The 19,527-nt window shown below is 33.8% G+C and overlaps 2 protein-coding genes across 2 annotated transcripts in view; both read left to right on the forward strand.

Annotated features, from left to right (window-relative positions):
- Positions 1–3,943, forward strand: part of LOC124902894 (putative solute carrier organic anion transporter family member 1B7) — a 150,851-nt gene extending 146,908 nt beyond the window's left edge. Inside the window, exons 9-10 of the mRNA XM_047429949.1 lie at positions 400–595; positions 3,837–3,943. Of these exons, the coding sequence (XP_047285905.1) occupies positions 400–595; positions 3,837–3,849 (209 nt within the window). The 3' untranslated portion in view covers positions 3,850–3,943. The remainder of the gene's footprint in view (positions 1–399; positions 596–3,836) is intronic.
- Positions 1–19,527, forward strand: part of SLCO1B3-SLCO1B7 (SLCO1B3-SLCO1B7 readthrough) — a 275,549-nt gene that overhangs the window by 232,639 nt on the left and 23,383 nt on the right. Inside the window, exon 14 of the mRNA NM_001371097.1 lies at positions 19,007–19,071. Coding sequence (NP_001358026.1) covers positions 19,007–19,071 — 65 coding nt within the window. The remainder of the gene's footprint in view (positions 1–19,006; positions 19,072–19,527) is intronic.

Genomic DNA, 19,527 nt, shown 5'->3' on the forward strand with positions numbered 1-19,527 from the left:
CAGACATACAAATATTCTTAGCCATTGCCTTTTGCTCTTGAAGAAACCAAACCCTCATAACTGGGAGGAAGAAATTATTTTTGTCTCTCTTACATGGTACACTGGTCCCCTACCTCTACCTTAGTCTGCCACCCTCCTTTTAAAGAAGTGATAAGATGGGATGAATTTGGTTCACCCAGCCTCATACTGTGTTTCATATAAAAACACATATCCAAAAAAATATATATATATTTTTATATATATATTTATTTAAATATATATTTAAATATGCATATATATTTTTATATATTTAAATGTGTATATATATTTAAATATACATATTTAAATGTGTGTGTGTGTGTGTGTGTGTGTGTGTGTGTGTGTGTGTATATATTTACAGCTTTTTTCTCTTATTTCTAGGAGTCCTCGCCCTACCTGCTGTTGCAATTGGCATGTTTTCAGGAGGATATATCATTAAAAAATTCAAATTGTCTTTAGTTGGACTTGCCAAATTGGCATTTTGTTCTGCAACAGTGCATCTCTTATCTCAAGTTTTATATTTCTTTCTAATCTGTGAAAGCAAATCAGTTGCCGGCCTAACCTTGACCTATGATGGGTTTGTATATATAATTGGATAATATGTTAACCATCCAATCAAAAGACTATGTGTAAGGAAAATAGGGTAGAAAACAATTGTAATTAAATTTTCTTTTCACTGAGAGAAATTTCATTTTTGAAATTCTTAAAATGTTCACTCCTTAAGACCTTAAAGTTATTTTATTCCTTCATTAAAGAAAAGCAACATATGTTGAAGTAATAATACCTATAATTTATGGGTAATTATAATGAGTGGTGGGTACTTTTACCCACATTTTATAAATGAGAAAGTAAAATTTAGAGAAATAGATAAATTATATGGCTAGCAATATTAAGATTCTGACTCAAATTTTGGGGTTTTGACTCTAAAACTCTTAGTCTTAACCATTAACATTTTAGATGGATCATAATAGTAATATAAATTACCTTCTCCAAAAGTGACTGAATAACCTTCATCTACAGTTCTTTTTGATATTAACAACTGTCTTTATGAAATAATACTTTTTCACATTGTACTTAATTCTCCTTTTTTGCAAGCTAATATTTTTTTCTTCTGGTAGTCTACAATGGAAATAGCATTAAGATATATTCTGCTTATAATTGTATGTTAGACCTTGGGATATCTTTACTTTTCCATTATTATCATGTTTTGTCAAGTATTTTTAGTACTACAGTCTCTACCCCAAATCGAGAGCAAGATTCTTACACAGACTTTTAATAATCACTTCAATATAGCCAACAATGTAAGTTTAGGAAGGTTCACAGTCAAGCAACAGGCAAAGATGCTCAGATTACAGTTCAATAACCATGATCTTTAGTGCTGTTACTATTGGCTCGGAGCTTTCAAAATCTGGATTCTATGAGGTGTTGATTTTAATTTGTCAAATATTCTCATTTTCTTATCTAAGTAACATCCTGTTCTTGGAGGCTTGTTAAACTAATCATGAATTATTTTCCTGCATGCTTCTAAATCTAAACTGTTTTTGATCTTTCCTATCAACTGTCACCTACTTTGGTAAGTCAATACACATTGTACCTAGAACATTGGATTTTAGAGATAAGAGAACCTTAGAGATCATGCAGCCCAACTTTCATATATCGCTTCCTTTATTATATGAGACCTACAGAATTATGACTTGCTTAAAGACACACAACGACTCCCTCTTGATCTTATATCACACCATTAGTTTCAAAGGCTTCCTGTTTTTCAGGGCAGGCTTTTTAGCATAAAGCTAGTTTCCTGAAAACAAGTATAGTAACTGTGCCATCTACTGAAAAGATGGAAGCAAGAGTTATACAGGAGTTGTTCAATTTAATTAAATTTACTGAGTCCTTCCTGAAAGGTGATTATTTGTGGGAAACATCAATTCCCTCATGGAACTCGTAATCTAATGATAGCAAATAATAAAATCAATGTATTCAACATTTATGAAATCTTAGTCACTAGGACTTGTTTTATAAGTCAAATTAGTGCAGGGGTCTCCGAATTATCCCTGATTATCTCTAAGGGTCCTTGAGACTTTATCAAGGGGTCCACAAATTCTAACCTATTTTTATAATGATACAAAGACTTTGCCTTTTTTATTCACATTATCTCATGAAGGTATAGTGATATTTTTAAGATTATATGATATGTGTTGATGCCACCAGTCTTACAGCTAAAAATATGTGTGCTTATGTATTAAAATGTATTAATATTAATTTCTAATAGAGTGTCTATAGATATAACTAATTAAAACAAAAAACTTGGGTCCTTCAATGCTTTTTAAGACTCTGAAGGACTCCTAAGAAAAAATATGTTTGAAAACTGTCCCAGAATTATTTTTCCCCAAAAGTCTCTATGAGGTTGACATTTTTTACAAAGAGTAGTCACATTGGTAAGCTATGGCAGAACTAATCCGAACACAGGAGGAACTAATTGCAATTTCTGGACTGGGTCATTATCTTAGTCCATTTGAGCTGCTGTAACAAAATATTGTGTAGTTTGTAGATACACAGAAATGTATCTCTCACAGTTCTGGAGGCTGGAACATACAAGATCAAGGTGCTGAGAGATTTGGTATCTGGTAAAGGCACACTTGCTAGTTCATAGATTGTGCCTTCTAGCTGTGTTTAGTCATGGTGGAATATGCAAGGGGTCATTAACTCCATTCAGGAGGGTTCGTCCTCATGACCAGATCACATCCTGACAGCCCTATCTCTTAATACCTTCACATAGGAGATTAGATTTCAATCTATGAATTTGGGGGGGCACAAATATTTAGACCATAGTAATCATAAACCATTCTCCATAACTACTCCCAGTAGGATGTCCTCAAGCAGAATAATTAGATGACTTTAAATAAAATTATTAATAATGTGTTTTCTAAATTACCGATCTACTTTTTTCTTAATTTAAATGCATACTCATTCAAAGGTACTTCATCAATCCTCAATCATAAACAAATTTTTGCAAAACAAAGTAGCTTTTAAAATCTTGAAGCAGAAAATGTATACAAATAATATGCTTTATAATTTTAGCCATGATTAAAATTATATTTAACAATTTATAGCCATATTGTAAAGTAAATCAGTTTAAAAACATTGTATTGTCACTTAAAAAATATACAGAACTTTTCTAGCCCTTTTCAACTGATTCTATTATTTTTTGCTTTTCATTCTTCAGAGGTTCAGCTCTAATCACAATGAATTCTTATTTTATGTAGTTAAGATACAGATTTTAAACTTCAACCACATTAACTAGCATCCATAGATTCACAGAACTTTATAGTGACCTGAGAGGAACTTCAATCTAACGCCATTACCTCACCAAAAAAAAAACTGAGTCTAGAAAAATAAAATTACTTTTCTAATGTGAACCTTCTTGATGGAATCATAACAACCTCTTGTCTAAGTCTTATCTAATCTCTTATTTCTTTTTTAAGTTTTACTTTTTCTAAGTAACAAATCATGTTTTGGTAAAGAAGGAGAGTTACAAGCATTAAAAAATTTAAAAGCATTTTTAAAAACCTATTTTGGCATCATCAGATCAAATTTCTTGATCTAATTGAAGAAAATCCTTTATTTCATTTCTCTTTTCTTTCCCTCACCTTCCCTCCTCCTTTATTTCCCTTCTACTTCCCCCTTGTCTCTCTCCTCCTCTTCCTTCTTTTCTTCCTCTCTCTTCTCTTTCTCTCTTTTTGATATATGTCTATCATATATTTTCAGAAATAGTCCAGTAAGATCTCATGTAGATGTACCACTTTCTTATTGCAACTCAGAGTGCAATTGTGATGAAAGTCAATGGGAACCCGTCTGTGGAAACAATGGAATAACTTACCTGTCACCTTGTCTAGCAGGATGCAAATCTTCAAGTGGTAATAAAGAGCCCATAGTGAGTATTTGTTTTTGTTTTTCCTTCTCTCCTTAATCAAAATCTCAGATTTGATTTTTTAATAATTGTTTATCACATCTTCCTATAGCTAAGGTATCCAGTATAAAGATAAAAGATTCCGGTATTATCTGTCATTGTGATGGCTGTGAAGTATAAACAAAGCTTCATATAAAGTCCTGCTTAGGACACAACCAAGTTTTTCTGTTATTTGAATTTTAATTTGAGATTACCCCACTTTTTTCTTGAGAGTGTAGAAATATGACCTATTAGAATTTAATCCACTTAGGATTTCTGAGAAGCATCTGATTTGACTGAAGCACAAGATTTCAATTAATTTGGAATTAATTTATCCATCAGAAGTTAGGAGAAAGTCCTGATTAACCTGTTGTCAGAACTACCTACTTTACTAGGACAACAATCTATGTGCATTTTCATATATATACCTCCTGATGAGTTTAGCTAGGGACTCACTGGGGCTTTTGACTTTCCAATAAATTAATCAAGGATTCATGCTCACTTGACTGCCAAATTCTCAATTTCCTATGTTGATTTCCTCACAGATGGCGCTTCTCTTACCCAGGATAATTTAGTATCCTGCCCACTTACTCCCAACATATCCATTTGAAATTCCATTGTTTTCTTCACTCAAATGGGTTTTTTTCCATGTGAGCCATGGGTTTTTCCTAATATCCTGGGTAACTCCCAATAGTTGGAAACTGGGTATGCTATTCCCCATACCTACCATTCACTCAACATCTCGCAAAGTTGTGTATTCATCTTTCAGACCATTTTCCTATTACCAACATTAGCAACATAGTCAGCTATGATGATTACTCTCTACCACACTCTTCTATGTTTCATTTTTAAACATTTTTCATCTTTCCCTTGCCCATTGTCATACCGATATATTATGGAAAGGCATGGAGAAATTTGATGAACAAAGCATCCTAGGTTCCTTGAAGATAGGCCATAACTTTAATAAACTTGCACAACATATATGGCCCACAGACTATACTTAAAAGCCCACATCTCATATTCATCTGCTATAATATCCTTCAGTAAGGGTGCCCTCATTTAATCCCTGGTTTCACTTTGCCCAGTAGTGAAGATCTGAAAGAAACGTAATATTAGAATCCTAAAAAGAGCTCTGTCTACATGGAGACGTCTTCTTAATGTGAACAATGGCTATACCATCTGGGGGCTACTGCAAAATTCCTTTACTAAATCCTCAGTAAAAAAGAAATCTCTTTTTAAAATAATGTTCTCTGTATCAAAGTTTGGTTTTATTGGCCAGTGTGCTTTCTCCATAAAAGATTGTTCCATATTATTCTTAGTGAAAAAAGGAGGATTAAAGGAAGCTTGGTGGAACCATAAAAGTATAGATTTAAATTCTTTTAAAATTCTTCCTTCAATAATTAGTCTTTAGCACTAGTAGGTTAAAGGCAAACTTCCCTTAAACTTTTGTTTAGCCTAGAATCAGAATAGATTTTTTTTAAAGCCACCTACCTACAAACACTGCCTGATTAAATCTCTCAAATCATTTGATCCTAATGTTCGCCTTCTGTGCTCTTACCATTAGTCAGGACATTCTGTTGTGTTGGACCTCTCTGGTAATAATATTATCTATGTTATTATCTGTCATTATGGTCTTGAATGCTGCTTTCGCCTGCTTAAATAGAATTCTGGCATCCATGCCCATCTCTATTTCTTCTGTACTCTGTCCTATTTTCAAGAGTGGCTCTAGTTCCAGATTTTGGCCCCTTTCAAACTGCTGTATTTTCTGAAGATTTGGGGTAATCCTTCCCCAGGGCATGTCCCTAATACTTAGTAGAGATTGTCAAAGTGAGTAAAAATGCATATTTTAGGAAGTAAGTGTGGGTGAAAGAGCAATATTGAAAACAATTTATATTAATGAGAAAATTATATACACTTTCATACACTAATTTCTTAAATTATTTCCCAATTTTAAAATTAAGAATTTATTAAATGTTAATATTCAATAACATTATCTTATACAGAAAGTAATTCAGGAAGCAATTTTGCCTTTCATTATTAAGCAACTGTATTTTCATAATATTTTTAAAACTGTAAATATTTTAGTTTGAGACTTCTTTAAATATAATGGAATGTATTCATAGCCCAGTTGCATGTGGCAAATGTATTTGGTAATATTTCAAAAATTATTTTTAGGTGTTTTATAACTGTAGCTGTGTGGAAGTAATTGGTCTCCAGAACAAAAATTACTCAGCGCACTTGGGTGAATGCCCAAGAGATGATGCTTGTACAAGGAAATCTTACGTTTATTTTGTAATTCAAGTCTTAGATGCTTTCCTCTGTGCAGTTGGACTTACCTCATATTCCGTGCTGGTGATTAGGTAAGTATGATGTTTTAAAACATTATCATGTATATTAAACTAAAAACACACCCAATGATATACATATTTTCCGTATTTAGCTCAAATTCATATTTTGTTACATTTTAATTTTCTGGGAATTCATTTTCTTAGAATTATTATGATATTTCAATGCTATCATTAATAATATAATTTTGTCTCTAATACTTCCATTGTGAAATCTAGGCTCTATATATTCTTCTTTTATTAAGAATCTTAAGACACACACTGATTGACAATTGCCTCAATTGTAAAAGAATCTCTATATGATTCAAAAAGAACTTTTAATTTTCAGTTGCCTTGGATCCTAATGGGCCAGTTAGAGAAAATCATCTGTTGATTTCATTGAAAGAAAACGTTTTGCAACAAGATATAAATATAAACTTCAGTGTGTAATGAAATTCTAATGCTGTAAATTCACCCACAGCATGGCTTCTGACCTAGTATCCCTTAATACCATTGTAGACAGAAGAAAAGTATATGTAAAGAATTCATTCCTTTCTTCACTCATTAAACAGATATTTAGACAGCATGTGATGCTTAATGAAGAATATTTCTTGGTAAATAAAACCAATAAGGTACTTGTTGTCTCATAGCTTTGAAAAACGACGAGTGACGTGAGACAAATAAGTTTAAAAATGAACACATAATTACAAATTGCTGTTAGTCTTAATAAGGAAAAAGACTGCTAATAAAGGGAATAAAAAGAGAAACGAAATTTGGGAGTGAAATGAGGGTATATGAGGGAAAGGACTTACAAAGTGCATCTTAAAAGAAGTGATATTTTATCTAAGGGCATACAGAAAAAGCCAAATGAAGGGCTTTCAGGGAGAGGGTCTAAGTGCTGCTTCCTTAAGACAGGAAAGCGCTGGTGTGTTTGAAGACCAAAAAGAATCCAGTTCATTGGAACATACTGAGTGAGAGGGGTGTGGTATAAGAGAAGTTTGGAAAATTAGGGAGGAAGCAGATAATGTGTGCCCTACTGGCCAATATAATAATTCAATCACCTAAAACTGTAAACATGTAAAGACAGGCAAGTAGATGTTAAAAATATACATGATAAGTAGAATGACCTGGGTTAACATCTAATTATACTTTTAAAACATACTACCTGATCACAGTCATGGTCAGCCAACAGCATGACGTGGTAGAAAAAAAAATGTGTTTTTAAATTTTGTTAACATGAAAATAAACCTGTAAACTAAATTTACAGTTGTTAAATTTTGACTCTGACTGCAAGTTTTATCAAATTATTTATAGTAAATATTCCACAAATATATCTTCATCTTCAATATAAAATGTCTACTCAGAGGGAGAAGCATATATTTGCTAAATTACAGATTCATTAACATAAAAATTCACCTCAAAATATCATACCAGTTTACATCTCAACGTGTTTCAGCTTCTTAATTGAAACTTTTTCATAAGGAGAGTTTTAAAAATACTGTTTCATCCTTGATGATAGTTATGATTTATCTAATTAAGAAAGTTATGAAATCAACATTACCACTTGTCAAAAGCATTTATTAATCTCTCACCAGCCTTTTTCTTTGAAGAAAAGTTTTGTGAAGCTGACAAGAGAATACAAATATAAAATATGAACTTCATTCTATTCATGATTTTCTAAAGTTTATATCATAAGGCTATTGCTAAAACTAGACTAAGCAGGAGTGTAGGCATTTACTCATCCAGTACATATTCATTATGTGTGTCAGCCACAGGTCCACACAATGAAGATGCAGATGTGAATGAAAGTGATAAAACTTCATTGGCATCCAGTGGGGATGGGAAATGGGGGGTGGATTGGCATAGGAGAAGAACTAATAAACAAATAAGTAAGTAAATATGTAAAATAGGGTAAGTGTGCAACACTAGAAAGAAGAATCTGAGTAAGAAAATAGAAAAAGTAGGGATAGGTAAGAGACACTAGTTCAGACATTGTGCACTGGAAATCATATGATAAGAGACCTAAATGAAGAGATGAAGAGTGAAACTACAAGCCATGCTAAATGGGGACAGGGAAGGAACAATCGAGGCAAGGTAGAGCAAAGGTAAAGGCCCTGGTGTGGAACATACTTAACATATACATGGTCAGAAAAAAGTGTGTGAGGAACAGAGAGGTATGAAGTACAATGACAGAGCTAGCATGATCCAGATTATATTGTTCCGGGAAAGTCTTTGGAACTTATTCTAAATGCGTTCAGATGCCCTAGAGGGTTTAAGCGTTAGTATTACCTAAAGCTTATGGCTTACCTAACGAAAAGAACACTCTAACTGTGCATGGAGATGGAGTGTGTTTTTGGAAGACAAGAATGAAATCATGGAAAACATAAGGCTATGATCATTCTTCACAAGATGGAGTCTTGATTGAGCATGGTTATGATAAAGGAAGTGGGAAGCGACTTGAGTCTCAGTCTTTGTTTTGTTTTTAAGGCAAAGCCAATATGATTTGCTGCTCAACTGAATACAGCAGGTGAGAGAGAGAATTTAAGGATGATCTGAAAGTTCTGGTCTGAGTTCTAGAAAAATGATAGTACTATCGAACAATATGGGAAAGACTAAGGAAGAGTAGTTTTGGGAAAGTGGACAAGTAAGACTTCTTGTGTCTCTAAAACTGAGCTGCCTGTTAGATATCTACCAACAATGTCATATGCAGAATCCACTATTCAGGAGAAACACTAAAGTTAGAAACATAAATTTTAGAGTTAGCAACATACAGATGCTATTTAAATTCAACGTACTGTTGAGATATTCTAGGGACTCAGTATAGATAGAAACTAGATCCTAGGACCAACACCTAGCACTCTAACTTTAGAGATCAATAATAGAAGAAGCCAGTGAAGGAAATTGAGGAAGTCCCATGAGTTATGAGAAAAACTGAGAAAAGATCATGTTCTTGAAGCATAATGAAGAATATATGAAGTAGTGAGTAAAGCAACTATGTCAAGGGCCGCTGAGAGTTCACAGGAGTTAGGGACTAGAAAGTGACCATTGGATTTCATTATATGCTGATCACTGTTAGCCCAAACAAAACTGGTGCATGAAGAAGGAAGGGAAAAATAAGGCTGTTTTGGTTATTAAAAAGTGTTTCATTTTTATGGATTTAGGGGTACAAGTGCAGTTGTGAAACATGGATATATTGTGCAGTGAAGTATGGGGTTTTGTGTTCTCATCATCCGAATAGTGTACATTGTATCCGATAGATAGTATTTCATCCCTCCCACCCTCCCATCCCATCCCATCCCTGCCACCCTCTCCCAACCTCCCACACTTTAGTCTCTAATTGTCTATTATTTCACTCTGTATGTCCTTGTGTACTCACTATTTAGCTCTCACATCAAAGTGAGTACATGCATTTTTTAACTTTCTGTTTCTGCCTCATTTCACTAAGGATAATGGCCTGCAGTGCTACCCAAAATGCTGCAAATGACTTGACTTCATTTTTTTATGGCTGACTAGTATTCCATGGTATATACATATATATCAAATTCTTAATCTAACTATCAGTTAATGGACATTTAGATTAATTCTACGACTTTGCTTTTGTCATTAGAGCTGTGATAAGCATAGAAGTGCAGGTATTTTTTGCTTGTTTGTTTGTTTTTGTTTTGAGACAGAGTCTCACTTTTTTTGCCAAGACTGGAGTGCAGTGGCAGGATCTTGTCTCACTGCAACCTCCGCCTCCCAGGTTCAAGCAATTCTCCTGCCTCAGCCTTCTGAGTAGCTGGGATTTCAGTCACCCACCACCATACCTGGCTGATTTTTTTTTGTAATGTTATGTTATGTTATGTTATGTTATGTTACGTTACGTTACGTTACGTTACGTTACGTTACGTTACGTTACGTTATGTTATGTTATGTTATTTTTTTAGTGGAGATGGGGTTTCACCATGTCAGCCAAACTGGTCTCAAACTCTTAACTGCAGGTGATCTGCCTGCCTTGGCCTCCTGAAGTGCTGGGATTGCAGGCGTGAGCCACTTCACCCAGCCACAGATTGTCTTTTTAATAAAATCATTTCTTTTTCTTTAGGTAGACATCCAGTACTGGGATTACTGGATTGAATGGTAGTTCAATTTTTAGAAAACAGTAAATCTCTATACTGTTTTCCATAGAGGTTGTACTAATTTACATTCCCACCAACGGTGTATAAGCATTCTCTTTTCTCCTCATCTTCACCAACATCTCTTGTTTTTTTGACTTTGTAATAATAGCTATCATAAGGATATAAGATGATACTATGATTTTAATTTTAATATCTCTGATGATTAGTGATGTTGGGGATTTTTTATATGTTTATTGAACACTTGTATGTCTTCCTTTGAAAAATGTCTGTTCATGTCCTTTGCCCACTTTTTAATGAGGTTCTTTCTTTTTTTTTCATTGAGTTGAGTTCCTCATATATTATGGATATTAGCACTTTATCAGAGCCATTGTTTACAAATATTTTCTCCCATTCGGTGGGTTGTCTGTGTCCTCTGTTGATTATTTCTTTTACTTAGCAGAAGTTTTTAAGTTTAATTAAGTTCCATTGGTGTATATTTGTTGTTGCTGTTGTATTTCCTTTTGAGGACGTAATCATAAATCCTTTGCCTAGACCAACATCCAGGAGAGTTTTTCCCCTAAGATTTTTTATAGTTTCAGGCCCTACATTTAAGTCTTTAATCAATTTTGAGTTAATTTTTATATATGGTGAGAGATAGAGATTCAATTTTATGTCTGCATATATGACTCTCCAATTTTCCCAGTACCATTTATTGAATAGGGTGTCCTTTCCTCAGTGTATATATTTTTTTGCCTTTGTCAAAGATCAGTATGTTGTAGGTATGTGGTTTTATCTCTAGCTTCTGTAGTCTGTTGCATTAATCTATGCATTTATTTTTATGCTATTACTATTTATACTGGCTTATAGACTTGAAGTATAATATAAAGTCAGGTAAGGTAATAACTTCAGCTTATTTTTTGCTTAGGATGAATTTGCTCTTCGGGATCTTTTTTGGTTCCATATGAATTTTAGGATTTTTTTTTCTAATTCTATAAAAAATGATATTGATAATTTAATGGAAATTGCATTGAATATAGGTTGCTTTGGGCAGGATGGTCATTTTACATAATATTAATTATTTCAATTTATGAGTGTGGGAAGTTTTTCCATTCAATTTTGTCATATATGACTTTTTCATCAGTTCTTTTTGTAGAGATTTTTTACCTCTTAGGTTAAATGTATTCCTATTTATTTTATTTTTTATCTATTATATATATCAGTAAAAAAATCTTGTTATAGACAACTATATTATCTATCAGTTATCTATCAGATAGATAACTGTATTGGGATTCATTTGTTGATTTGGTTCTCAGCTAGATCATTATTGGTGTATGGAAATTATACTGGTTTTTGAACATTGGTTTTATATCCTGAAACTTTACTGGAGTAGTTTATCAAGTCTAGGAGACTTTCAGAGGAGTCTTTAGGATTTTCTAGGTATAAGATTATATCATAAATAAACAGAAATAATTTGAACACTTGTTTTACAATTTGGATACCTTTTATTCCTTTTTTTCATCTGATTGCTCTAGATAGAACTTCCAATACTATGTTGAACAGGAGTGCTGAAAGTAGGCATCCTCACTTTGTTCTCATTCTTAGAAGTAATGCTTACAATTTTCCCTCCCTCAGTATGTTGTTGGCTGTGCTTTGCATTTTATGGCTTTCATTATTTTGAGGTATATTTCTTCTATGCCTAGTTTAGTAATGGTTTTTATCATAAAGGAATGCTTGATTTTATGAAGTGCTTTTTTTGTATCAGTTGATTTTGTATGCTTTTTGGTTTTAATTATGTTAATTTGATGAATCACATATATTGATTTGCATATGTTGAACCATCTTTGCATTTCAGGAATAAAGACCACTTCATCCTTGTGATGAACCTTTTGATGCGCTACTAATTTTTTGATGTGCTTTTAATTTTCTACTGTTTTGTTGAGGATATTTTGATCTATGTTCATCAGGAATATTGATCTGTAGTTTTTTTTATTTATTGTTTACTTGCCTAGTTTTGGTGTCAGGGTGATGCTGACTTCATAGAATGAGTTAGGGAGGATTCCTTCCTTCCTGATTTTTTGGAACAGTTTTGGTAGAATTGGTATCATTTCTTCCTTGTTTCTTTGGTAGAATTTGGCTGTGATGCCAACTGTTCTTGCACTTTTTATAGTTGTTAGGAGATTTCTTTTTTATTACTGATTCAATTTCATTACTCATTATTTGTTCAGTATTTCTATTTTTTCTTGGTTCAAATTCGGGAGGTTGTATGTTTCCAGGAATTTATCAATTTTCTCTAGGTTTTCTAGTTTGTGTATGCAGAGAGGTACATAGCAGTCTCTGGTGATCTTTTGTATTTCTGTGGTAATAGTTTTAATGTCACCTTTATCATTTCTGATTGTGCTTATTTGAATCTTCTTCCTTTTAATGGTTAACCTACTAGCAGTCTAGCAATCTTGTTTATATTTTCAGATAACCAACTTTTTTTTTCACTGATCCTTTGTAAACTTTTTTGCCCACATTTCATTTAATTTTGTTCTTTGTTATTACTTTATTCTGCCAGTTTAGGGTATGGGTTGTTCTTGACTTTCTAGTTCCATAGGGCATAATATTAGCCATTTAATGCTACAAACTTCCCTTTTAGCGCTGATTTGCTGCATCTCAGAGGTTTTGACATGCTGTCTTTATTTTCATTCATTTTGATTTTTAAAAATAATTCTGCCTTGATTTCATCATTGACCCAATAATTGTTCAGGAACAAGTTATTTAATTTCCATGTATTTGTATAGTGTTGAGAATTCCTCTATGTGCTAATTTCTATTTTTATTTCACTGTGTTCTGAAAAGGTACTTGATGTAACTTTGATTTTTAAAAAAATGTATTCACTCTTGCCTGTGGCATGGCATATGGTCAATTTTTTAGCATGTTTCACATGCAGCTGTGAAGAATCTATATTCTGTGGTAGTAATATAAGATGTTCTGCAAATATTTGTTAGGTTCATTCGGTCTAGTGTTCAACTTACCAGCTTTCTTTGTTGATTTTTAGCCTCCATGATCTTCCTGTTGCTGTCAGTGGGTTATTTATGGACCCTACTAATGTTGTATTGGCATTTCTCTCTTTTCTTCAGTCAAGTAGTATTTGTTTTATGAATCTGAGTGCTACAATGTTCGATGCATACTTTTAGAATTGTTATATCTTCTTGTTGAATTGAGCCTTTATAAAATATAATAACCTTTTTCATTTTTTGACTGTTTTTGATTGGAAGTTTGATCTAACACAAGTATAGCTATAGTTGGTTTATGTTATCATGGGATATCTTTTTGCACCCCTTTACTTTGACGCTGAAAGTGTCTATACCAGTTAGTTCAGTTAGGTGGGTTTCTTGTAAGTAGCATAAAGTTGTATCTTTTTTTTAAACATTCTGCCAGCCTATATTTTTTAAGTGGAGGATTTAGTCTGTTTACATTTAAGGTCAGTATTGATTTTTGAGGTTTTGTTTCCATAATATTGTTAATTAGTTCTTAATTGCTTTGGGGCATCAATTGGGTAATTTCTTTATAAGATCTGTGTGTTTTATGCTTTTGTGTGTTTCCATAATGATTAGTATTGCTCTTTCATTTCTGTGTTTAGAACACCTTTGAGTATTTCTTGTAATGCCAGTCTGTGACAAATATGTTTAGTGTTTGCTTATTATCTAGGAAATACCTTATTTCTCTTTGAATTATGAATCTTAGTTAAGGGGGATAAAAAAAATTCTTGTCTGGCCTTATTTTGTAAGAAGACTCAAAATAGGACCCCAGTTTCTTTTGGCTTGTTAAGGTTCCTGCTTACAAGGTTCCTGCAAACTCTGGTATGAGTTTGATGAGATTTCTTTTTAGACACTTCTCTCTTGCCTCTTTTATGTTGACTTTGGATAGTCTGAGTACTATATGTTTTTCTTAGGTTATTCTTGAAATACATATCCCAGGAATCATCTCAGATTTTTATATCTGGATGTCTAGGTCTGCAGCAAGACCCGGGAAGTTTTCCTGAGTTACTTATTCAAACAAGTTACCCACACTTTTTACTTTCTCTTCTTCCCCCACTGGAATACCTATAATTCATAAGTTTGGATGCTTTACATGATAACCTTTACATGATAACAAAGTGCTTGAAGGCATCGTTAAGTTTCGCAATTTAATTTTCTATATTTGTCTTACTGGGTTTACTTAAAAGACCTGTTTTCCAGCTCTTAAATGGTTTATGCTGCTTGTTCAGCCCATTGTTAAAGCTTTCAAAACCATTTTGCAATTCCACCAAAATATTTTTCATTTTCAGAAGTCATGTCTGTTTTTCTCAATAAAATCTATATTTTCTTTTATATGCTACATCATTTTTCTCATGTATTTGTGATGGCTTTCAACTTTGGATCTCAACCTTAAATAATCCTGTATTTCTTAAAGGCCTTATTTCTGGGAGGCTTCTTTAGAATTCTTTAGAATCAATATTTTGGATTTTTTTTTTTTTTTTTTGAGTTGGAGTCTCACTCTGTCACCAGGCTGGAGTGCAGTGGCGCAATCTCGGCTCACTGCAACCTCCACCTCCTGGCTTCAAGCGATTCTCCTGCCTCAGCCTCCTGAGTAGCTGAGACTACAGGTGTGCGTTCTTCATTGACTATATAAAAGATTTTATTGTGTTTAGAATCCACCGCTGGAGGTTAGTGTGGTCCTTTGGAGATGTTGTAACACTCTTTCTTCTTTATACTTCCAGAATTGTTTATCTGGTTCTTCCTCATTTGGATAAGCTATCTCTCCTTATTTTGAATTTATTTTGTTTTAACAGGATTTTTCTCCCTTTGAAACTGTGACTGTAATGTGTGCTGCATAGAATCTGAAAGGCTGTATTGAAGAGGATCAAGAAAAAATGCTAGAAAGGAAAGTGTAGCAGTCAGTATGGAAAGTTCTTTTCAGGAGAAGTGTTAGAAGAAGAAGCAGAGAAAAGATGTGGTAGTTAGCATGATTGTGTCATCAAGAGTTCTGTTTATGTTCAATGCTAGAAATCATACCATGCTTGCATACTAATGAGAATTAGCAGTACAGATGAAGGAAACTGATAATGCAGGAGAGAGGGAAAGTAATTACAGAGGAAGATGAAAAGAGATGTTAACAAGGACACAGAGTTTTTCTCTGTAGAAGGGAAAATTGTCTATGTGGGTAAAAAGCCGGTAAATGTGTACCTGTAGTGATAAAGAGTATTAAACTTTTTTTATCTAATTGCTTCTACTTTCTCTGTTATAAAAAAGCAATGTAATCAGATGAGAAGGACGATAAAGAAAAGAAAGAGTGTTCATATCAGAAAAAGTTACCTAGTAATCTTGAAGATTGGAGAAATATACTGACTGGCAAAATGGACTAGTAAAATATTGGACAATTGCACTGGAGGTCCCCTGAATATTTTGGCTTATGAATTTAAAGTGAGCCCAACCAGCATGGTTGAATTATTTCCTCCAGCCGTGCAGCACACTACATAGGTGTAGAGAAGGCAGAGGTTTAGATAAAAGCATTTTTGCTTGTCCAATACAATAAAGGATGAGATAGACAAAATGTTCAAGATATATGCAAAGGATTGATTATAACAAAAGATCATGATGAGATAGGACATGAAGAGGTGAAACTAGGGATGGCCTGTGAAGAGGTCAGAGGAGTCATAAGCCTAAAGAGCTAGGGCTGGGGTATATTGCAGCAGACGTATGAAACGGAGTAATTTTAAAATTTGAGATGTGGTCATGAGGAGTGGGATGCTCAAAATAGAGAATTTTAAAAGTGGGTACTGATGAACTGATTGTGGGTGAAAGAAATACGACTTTCCAGAGAAAAGGCCAAGAAACTGGAAGGGCAGAGCATTGGGAGCATAATCTATATGAATATTAAAATAACTAAGAAAAGGGGCAGAAATCATTTTGACAAAAACGACAGAGAGCCTAGAATGAAAATTGTCAAGAAATGATAAGAGTTGTGGTGTGCCAGTCTACAGCTAACTTCAACAAGGAGGTTAGAGAATAGTATATTAGTGTGGTGCACCTCTTACTGGGATCTAGAGGTCTTTCAGAGGAGAGACTCAGGTATGGAAGTGGTAAAAACAAAAGATCAATAAGGACTTCCACATTTCAGGCCCACTGATATGGAGGCGGTGGAAGGAAAACTTGATAGAGTTGCAAGGAAAGAGTGTTAATGGGAGTTAGATTTCATTTAGAACAAGAAAGTAAAAGAGCTAAAAAGAATGTAGGAAGTTGGCCAGGCACGGTGGCTCATGCCTATAATTCTAACACTTTGGGAAGCCGAGGCAAGCGGATCACTTGAGGTCAGGAGTTCAAAACCAGCCTGGCCAACATGGTGAAGCCCCATCTCTACTAAAAATACAAACAAATTAGCTAGTCGTGGTGGTGGGCACCTGTAATCCCAGCTACTGGGGAGGCTGAGGCAGGAGAATTGCTTGAACCCAGGAGGCGGAGGTTGCAGTGAGCTGAGGTCACAGCACTGCACTCCAGCCTGGGCCACAGAATGAGAATCCATCTGGAAAAAAAAAAAGTAAACATTTTGCTGGTAAGAAACAAGAGTTTCCATGGGCAAAATAACAGGGTTTGAGTGATGGGAAAAGAGTAGGAGAGTGAGTTGGATTAAGGAATGTGTATTAAACCATGTAGAATGAGAGTCTTTGTACCCAGAGAAGATCTAAAAATCTTGGCATTCTGCTGGTGACAACGGTGTGAGGCATGATGTAAGCTGATGACAAACAAAGCATCAATCTACAGTGAAAAATGTCTTTCATGATAACAGTGTGTGTGTGCATGCAAGTGAGCATGTGAGTGTGAGCATGCAAGGAGTAGTGTGAATGTGCATGCATGTAAATGTAGGAGTGAGTGTGTATGATTGTTATTGTATGTGTATGTTACTATATCACACACATCCATCATTTCCACTGAATTGAAGATTTCAGGCCCACTCTTAGGAAAATATTTACCCTATCTGCAAGTCCCCCAATTCTCCTGCATGCTAACCCTTTCCCTGGTAAAATACAAGTTGATAACAAATGTCAGTTTGCCTTGTGCGTATAGTATACAAACTGCAACTTTCGAAAACGAATTACAGTGAAAAATGCCTGTCAGGCAATTGTCAGAGAACTCAACCAGGGGTGAAGTGCAATCTCTCCCTTCCCCAAATCTCCTTTGAGAAATCTGATATTTGAGAGTAACATCTCCATAGAAAAGCTAACCTACCCTTCCTGGTGATTTTCTCCTGACCATCTCTTTATGAAATAAATTTCCTCCTTATATAGCAGACATGGATTCATTGTCCTCAGTGTGGTTGTTGTGCCCTCAACTGGGCTAACAAAGTACTGCTGTACTTGGTGAAAGGAGAGCCAAAACACACTTTCCATTTATTGTCTCTCCTAATATATAACTATCTTATGTTTAGCTTTTAATATATTATGTTTAATTTAACTTTTGCCTTTTAAAAGTTTATAAATTCTGTTGAATTCTTTTCAGAATCTCAATAAATGGTAGCTGTTTTGTAAAGTATACAGGTGATTATGTGTAAATTAAATTGAAGTTTAGAGTGCTAGCTCATTTTATTGGATTCTTATAACATGAGATAAGCATTATTATCCTCACTTAACCAACAAGGAAACTAAGGCTAAGAGAAATTAAGTGATATACTTCTCCAAGTCACTTAGATGAGAAGAAGCATAATTTGTCTATTTACTCCCAAGAATATTAACTAGCATAGTATCTCTTATTAGGTGCTCAGTGAATGTTTGTTGATTGATGACAGCTACATAGCTCTCTGAAAGAATAACCATCCAAGAGTTCAAGAAAAAAACAACTTTTTCATCAGTTAATTTACTCTTTCAGTAAAACTGGGTTTTTTGAGCCGCAGTCATCCTCCCTTATCCCAATCCACCCCCTCCACTAATGCAAAATAATTTTATTTCACTTGATATATACTAAGTTATCACAGGGTTGGTAGTGTAATCAGTTTATTGAACACAGAAAAATGGAATTGGGGAAATGTAAGAGTGAGTTAGTTTCTAAGTGAGGATACAAGTATAGTCTTACCTTCAGTATGACAGTTAAATACACAAGACACTAGAATACAGAAAAGTTTTTTGACCCTTCTGGTTGTATTATATAATTTATGAATCATATTAGTAAACTACCGTGTTAACACTGATGACAGAAATAAGATGGAAAAAAGAGGACTGCTAAGAATTACTTTTGGATAATGGTATATAATATTTTCATATGAGCTACCTAAATAGTCCACACAAAATCATTTTCTTCATAAACGTGGCAAGTCTGTTCATCACCTTTTTATAGGATTTTCATAAGGATCAAATATGAAAATATTTGTTAAACTGTCCTGAAATCATAAAGCATAGAATAAATAAGAAATAAAAATAATTATTACTACCATCCAGGTGTTTGCCTTTTAAAACAATTGAAAATATAACTATATTTAATGTGGGCCATTCACTTAAGGGTTCTCATTCAATCATGAAGAAAAATGATACTGATAAATGTTTTGATATTAACTCAGTTTGATATTTTAATGATGTGTATTGTTTCTTTGCTTTAATCATATTACAGGATTGTTCAACCTGAATTGAAAGCACTTGCAATCGGCTTCCATTCAATGATTATGCGATCGCTAGGTATGATAAATATACAGATTAGAAATTTAACATGTAAATATTCATGTTAAGGCTTAAAGACAATGTAATTAATTTTCAACTATGAGAATGTATAAAAAAGGAATAAGTAAGAATCATTTCCATTGTTGTGATAAATGAAAATAATAAGAGGAAAACTTGAGTGGCCTAGCAGAGAATTTGATTGTTAATTCTTGTTAAAGCCAATCTGTTAAGAGCAAGGAATCATCATATTTATATTATACTTTTTCTAACAGAAAGATAGGTAGTATTTGAAATTTTCCTTCTTTCAGAAAAATAAGAATATTTCTTCCAGGTATAGGCAGAGTGGAGAGTCTTCCTTCTAAATGGAGGCATTATTTAGGACAGGCCTCAATTAGCTTAGGAGCCCTAGGAATCTGGTCAGGCTGAAGTTGTATAAAACAACAGGAGATAACATGTAACTGGGCCACTTCTCAC

This window comes from Homo sapiens, chromosome 12, assembly GCF_000001405.40.
Source record: "Homo sapiens chromosome 12, GRCh38.p14 Primary Assembly".
Taxonomy (NCBI): domain Eukaryota; kingdom Metazoa; phylum Chordata; class Mammalia; order Primates; family Hominidae; genus Homo; species Homo sapiens.